We start from the raw sequence: 7,141 nt of genomic DNA, 5'->3' as shown, positions 1-7,141 counted from the left end.
CCTTGCCTAATTATCCTTAGAAAACAGTGCTAATCCATGTGCTAAGACATGACCATCAATTGCTTAGAATCTATGAGAATAAACGTATGAGTCACTCCATCAGATCCAAAACTCTGCATAGGTAAAAGGGCTGGCACAGGATAAGGAAAGCAAAGAATCATAGCATAGTTGTTATGCTAATGATAACATAACTTATGTTATTACTAATAGTTGATAGCTATTTTCTTTATTTTGCACTGCTACATTATCTGAAGAATATTAATTGTGGCTAACATTTTAGAATTTTAATTAACAATTGTCCAATTAACTATCTCAGGGTGCCCTTGGATTCCTCTAGAGATCCTAACTGATTCGTCTGCCTTAGGGAATCTCATCTCTTCCCATGGGTTTATTTTTCACCAGCATGCAGGGGAAGTTCTGGCTCTGACTCTGCCATAAGCTGCAAACATTGATATCCCATTGCCTACTGGTTGTCTTCAACTTAGGTTATTAGTTTTCTTCCTCAAATCCCGTAGTTGTTGCTATTCTCACTGAGCCAATCGACTAACCTAGGTAATCATCTTAGATTATTTCTTTCTCTTCTTTCCTTATGTCCAAGGCAATTATCTTATTCTGTCTAATGAAATATGTAAATATTCATTGTATCCCATTCTCAAAATTATTACAGCGACAGCCTAGGTTAGTTCCTTATTTTATCTTGTTTGGATTATCAAGAATATAATCAAAATAAAAATGGGACCTTAGTTACCATATGGAATTACATTCAAAGAAACAGCAATCAAGAAACAAAAAGCAAAACAAAGCCCAGAACCTTTAATCTCATCTAATCAGTTATAATCTACTCAATATTTTAATAAATACCAAAGGACAGAAAGAATATTACTAATAAAAAGGAATTATATTTTAAATTCCTCCATCCAATCTCTGTCTCTTTACCTCATGGTTCATGTGGATGATAGCTTCTTCTCTCAAGCACTGCATCCCTTCTCAAAACTAAACTCTGGTATATCTTTTTACCCAGCTTGTGATTTCTTCTTTTTCCAGTATTGTCCCTTAGAAGAACTTAGTGCTATGTGGGAATATCTAGACTCTTCCTTACAAGCTGGAGAGAAAGGAAAAAGGGCTGTGGGGTAAAGCAAAGAAGGGGTCAGTGTATTAGACTCCTATGTTTTCCCCTAGAGAACTAATGATACCTGGCCAGGCGTGGTGGCTCACGTCTGTAATCCCAGAACTTTGGGAGGCCGAGGCTGGTGGATCACCTGAGGTTAGGAGTTCGAGACCAGCCTGGCCAACATGGTGAAACCCCGCCTCTACTAAAAATACAAAAAAGGTTAGCCGGGCCTGGTTGCAGGCACCTATAATCCCAGCTATATGGGAGGCTGAGGTAGGAGAATCACTTGAACCCAGGAGGTGGAGGTTGCAGTGAGCCGAGATCTCACCATTTGCACTCCAGCCTGGGTGACAAGAGTGAGACTCCATCTCAAAAACAACAACAACAACGAAGGAGAATTAATGATACCTTTTCCTGCTATATGGAAACTCTTCTCTGCACATCCAAACATCAGCATCTTACTCTCCACACAAATTCCGCTTTCTCCCTCCTGTTGGGTCAAATAACATTACTTCTGGCAATTTGTGGAGTATGGACTAAATTTGTCTCATTGTCTGCAACAAATGTTGTAAATATGGACCATCTCCACCTCTTCTGGTGTCTGCAAAGGGCCAGAGACAGCATTAGTAGTCATTGCTATTCTGTTTGTGATCTTTCTTGCTACACTGGAAAAAAATTGGTAGGCTCATTCTCCAAACTTGATCTAAGTTGATTTTAGGAGATTTCCTGGCGGAGAGTGCGAAACCTGATTATCGGTACTTACTAGTGAGAGGTGACAACGTGCTAGCAGCCCTCGCTCACTCTCGGCCTCTCCTGGGCCTCGGCATCCGCTCTGGCCGCCACTGCACTGTGGGGGCCCCTCTCTGGGGCTGGCCGAGGCTGGAGCCGACTCCCTCTGCTTGCGTGGAGGTGTGGAGCGAGAGGCGCCTGCGGGAGCCGGGGCTTCTGGTGGCGCTCACAGGCCTTCAAGAGTTCCGGGTGGGCGGGGGCTTGGCGGCCCCACACTGGGCGTGGCTGGCCAGCAGCTGCTGGGCTTGATTGCGGGAGGAGCTCCAACTGGGCTGCCGGAGTGCCCGGGCTAGGCGCCACAGGCGAGTGCCAGTGAGAGGTGAAGCCGGCTGGGCTTCTGGGACGGGTAGGGACTTGGAGAACTTTTCTGTCTACCTGGAGGATTGTGAATGCACCAATCAGCACTCTGTGTCTAGCTAAAGGTTTGTGAATCCACCAATCAGCACTCTGTGTCTAGCTAGAGGTTTGTAAATGCACCAATCAGTACTCTGTGTCTAGCTAATCTAGTGGGGACTTGCAGAACTTTTGTGTCTAGCTGAAGGATTGTAAATGCACCAATCAGCCTTCTGTGTCTAGCTCGAGATTTCTAAATGCACCAATCAGCACCCTGTCAAAATGGACCAATCAGCTCTCTGTAAAATGGACCAATCAGCAGGATGTGGGTGGGGTTGAATAAGGAAATAAAAGCAGGCTACCCGACGGAGCCCTGGCAACCAGCTGGGGTTCCCTTCCAGGCTGTGGAAAATTTGTTCTTTCTCTTCACAATAAATCTTGTTGCTGCTCGCTCTTTGGGTCTGTGCTGCCTTTATGAGTTGTAACACTCACCGTGAAGGTCTGCAGCTTCACTCTGAAGTCAGTGAGACCATGAACCCACCAGAAGAAGAAACTCTGGACACATCTGAACATCTGAAGGAACAAACTCCGGACACACCATCTTTAAGAACTGTAACACTCACTGCCAGGGTCCGCGGCTTCATTCTTGAACTCAGCGAGACCAAGAACCCACCAATTCCAGATACACTAGGAGCTCTCCTGCTGAAGGGCTTATTTCAGGAGGTTCATCTCTACCTGCAGTGCTTCATGAACTCAATTTCCGTTCTTGAGGGCATCCATGGTTGTCTTTCTTCCTTCTTAGGTCTATTAGCTAACTTTGCCAATAGTGAGAAAACTAAGGGTCCTTCAGTTTTAAGATGACAGATAAGACTGTCCAATTTTTTACTGCAAATCCTCACAAAAGAGCCAACTCCAAATTATTCTGAATTTCTGTTGTGTGGACTGTAATGGCTGTCTCTCAAATCTGATTTTTTTTTTAATGTGAGGGAGTATTCTTTGTTCATTGGTGCACAATGAGGCATTTAACACATGAGTTTCAGACATTCTCTGCTCTGCTTTTTAACAACTACAAAACAGTCAGTCACCATGATGGAGATCCTGGTGGTCTTGAGTCCACGAATTTTCTCTAGTACTGGGTCTTTGGATTTTGACTTCAATACTCAACATTTCTCTGCCTCTGATGCCTGCCACTTCTGTAGAATTTCAGCAGCATGTTCCAATCATGAGGCAAACGGATTCTTCTCTAATCCTGGAATGGTAATCCCTGTGAATTCCTGATCCTGTGTTTATGCTGGCAATTAATCTATTCCAGTTGTTCTTCAGCCTACCTGACCCATGGTAGGCACAAAATCCACCAGGGGGTCATGTTTCTGCCCTCTTTCTAAGGGTAAGTCTAATTTCTTGATAAATTTGATGTGGATTAAAACCCGATTTTCACCCTGTAATTTGGACAGAAAAAAAGTAGAAAACTAGGGCAGTCATTGGAATGAAAAAGTACGATTAAGGGAAATATTTTTAAGATAAGTGAAAATTAAGCCATGTTATACTGGCTTAATTAGGAAGGTTTCATTGCATGAATGAGAAATTAATGTTTCGGGGCTGAGAGAGAAATATCGTAGAGGCAAATTCCAAGAGAAAGGGAGAGGAAATGGCATGCAGGGCATGTATGAGTGGAAGAATATCCCTTTGAATGGAGTAAAATCCCTTTAATTGATAGAGTGGCTGGCAGAGAGTCTATTTGCACTGTTGCTACTTCAACTCCTTCCATCTTCAGTTCAGTCATCCCCATGACAGTACTAAGTGAATTTTGTCAAAGTCATCAATTGTCTTCATCTTGACAAGCCAATAACAATTTTCGGCTTTTATTTTTATGACCTTTCACCAGTATATAAACTATTTGACTACTCCTTTATTCTTAATCCATCTTCTACTCAAGGTGACTTTTCCTCAATTTCTTTTCCTTGTTTTCCCTTCTGTGCCAGACTTTTCAATGTCAGAATTTTTCAGGTCTCTGTTCTTCACCTTTTCCTTTCTCTTTCTACAGTCTTTGCTTCAAATAATATCTTTGTTCTGATGAAGTTCAAATTTACACCTCTCACCCAGATCTTTCCTAAGTAGACATTTTGTTCTTCTTATATTGATATCTAACAGGTCATGATCAATTTATCATGACTAACACAAAACTCTGGACTTCCTACCTTATACCCACCCTCTTTCCATTCAAACACACACATCTTCCCAAGCCACCAGTAAATTGGACTGCACCATTGTCCTCCCAACTGGTTGCTTGGTCTTTACAATACCCTCCTCCCTGCACCATGACTTACTTACATAGCAGCAAGAGATATCACTTCATAGCTGTTAGAATGGCTATTATTAAAAAGACAAAAGATACCAAATGTTGGCGAGGATGTGAAGAAAAGCGAACTGTTGTGTATGGTTAGTGGGAATGTAAATTAGCACATCTATTATGGAAAATATTATAGAATTTCCTCAAAAAAATTAAAACTAGAACTGCCACTTTAACAATCCCATTTCTGGTTATACAAACAAAGGAAATGAAATCAGCATGCTGTACCATAAAGACACATGTTATGCTACCAATATATATTTATTGTGGCACTATTCACAATGGTAAAGAAATAGAATCGAGGTAGGAGAATGGCGTGAACCTGGGAGGCGGAGCTTGAGTGAGTCGAAATTGCCACTGCACTCCAGCCTGGGCAATAGAGCAAGACTCCGTCTCAAAAAAAAAAAAAAAAAAAAAAAGAAGAAAAGAAAAGAAATAGAATCAATCTAAATGCCCATCAACAATAAACTAAAGAAAATGTGGCACATATACATCATGGGATACTACAAAGCCATCAAAAAAAAAGAGATCATGTCCTTTGCAGCAACATGGATGGAGCTGGAGGCCATTGCTTTAGCAAACTAATACAAGAACAAAAAAAACACATACTGCATGTTCTTACTTATAAGTGATAGCTAAACAATGAGAACACATGGGCACAAAGAGTGGAACAACAGACATCAAGGTCCGCTTGAGGGTGGAAGATGGGTGGAGGGAGAGAATCAGAAAAAAATGCCTATTGAGTATTATGTTTATTACCGGGGCAATGAAATAATCTATACACCAAACACCTATGATAAGAGTTTACTTATATAACAAACCTGCACATGTACTCCCTGAACCTAAAATAAAAATTATAATAAAAAAGAAATCATTATGTTTAAGAGATAATCTACACTCCTTCATTCATTGCAGCATTATTCACAGTAGCCAAGATATGGAGTCAACCTAAGAGTCTCTCAGTGGATGAATGGATAAAGAAAATGTGACATATATACAAAATGGAATACTATTCAGCTTAAAAATGAAGGGAATCCTCATTTGCAACAACATGGATGAAACTGGAGGATATTACACTAAGTGAAATAAGCTGGGCACAGAAAGATACATACTGCATGACCTCATTTATATGTGGAATCTAAAAAAGTTGAACTCTTAGAAGCAGGGAGTCGAATGGTGGTTGCCACAGTCAAGGGTGAGGGAGGGCTGATGAGAAGATGTTGGTCAAAGGGTTTGAAGTTTTACTTAGGTGAAGAAGTTCAGGAGATATATTATACAGTATGGTAGCTATAGTTAATATTAATAATAATGTATTGTATACTTGAAAATTGCTAAGAGAGTGGATCTTAAATGTTCTCACCAAAAAAATAAGTATGTGAGGCAATGGATATGCTTATTAGCTTGATTTAGCCATGTAACAATGTATACATATATTGAAACATTACAACGTATACTATAAATATATAAATTTTTTGTCAATTATATTGTTTTATATTTTTTGATTTTTAATTGACAAATAAAAATATATATTTATCATGCGCAATATGTTTTGAAATATATATACTTTGGGAAAAGACTAGTTGAGCTACTATATTTAATCTTAATTTTTAAAACATGTTACATTGTTACAAATACCAGCCCTATTAAAATGTAGTCTCCTTGAGAATGAGATCTCTGTACTCTAAAATTCCTCAGTATTTGTTGACTGATATAAATTCCTAAGAAAATTTTTTATACTTCTTTTCATGTTAGCAAACACAAATGTCTGGGTCTCAGCCTGAAACATCAGTTTCTGAGGTCTACATTCCTTCCCAAATCAGAATTCCAGTCTCAGCATTGTCTCCACCATGTTCCTTTGTTTTTCTAATAAAATTTGAAGAATAATCAAGGTCAGTGTTTGCATTTCTTTATACCATTTAAATATTTCTTTTTCATATCTGCCATTCTCAGTATCCTTTATATGGACAGCAGCTACTCATCTCAAAATTTCTTCCTTCTAACATCTCAATCTCTAACTTAAAACACTTCTAAAAACATAAGCTGGGCAGGGCGCAGTGGCTTACGCCTGTAATCCCAGCACTTTGGGAGGCTGAGGCAGGTGGATCACGAGGTCAGGATATCGAGACTAGCCTGGCTAACATGGTGAAACCCCGTCTCTACTAAAATACAAAAAACTTGCTGGGCATGGTGGTATGTGCCTGTAGTCCCAGCTACTTGGGAGGCTGAGGCAGGGGAATCACTTGAACCTGGGAGGCGGAGGTTGCAGTGAGCTGAGATGGCGCCACTGCACTCCAGCCTGGCGACAGAGCGAGACTCTTTCTGAAACAAACAAACAAACAAAACCCATAAGACGGTGGTTCTTAACTCTTCTGCCTTCCCCTCTGCCTTTTGTAGAAATACCTAATAGTTCTGTCCATTTCTAAAGTAAATCCTCTTCGTTATCCTTGTGCTATCCAGTTTGGCAGTTTTATCACTCCCATTGATTTTATCAACATAATAAAAAGCTTAGCAACGAAGTAGAAAGTGGGCACAGAGGAACCCAGAGGCGGGAGAAAGAA

The 7,141-nt window shown here is 40.4% G+C and overlaps 1 long non-coding RNA gene across 1 annotated transcript; it reads right to left on the bottom strand.

Moving 5' to 3' along the window:
• Positions 1 to 836: 836 nt before the first annotated feature.
• LOC102724407 (uncharacterized) lies at positions 837 to 2,229 on the bottom strand. The gene is made up of 3 exons (XR_428232.4): positions 1,875 to 2,229; positions 1,520 to 1,712; positions 837 to 1,123 (listed from the first exon to the last, which is right to left on the bottom strand). It is a non-coding gene; the product is annotated as an uncharacterized LOC102724407 (long non-coding RNA).
• Between the last annotated feature and the right edge of the window lie 4,912 nt (positions 2,230 to 7,141).

Source organism: Homo sapiens, chromosome 7 (assembly GCF_000001405.40).
Source record: "Homo sapiens chromosome 7, GRCh38.p14 Primary Assembly".
Lineage (NCBI taxonomy): Eukaryota > Metazoa > Chordata > Mammalia > Primates > Hominidae > Homo > Homo sapiens.
Note: the sequence above shows the minus strand (reverse complement) of the source record. Positions and strands in the feature narration are given on the sequence as shown.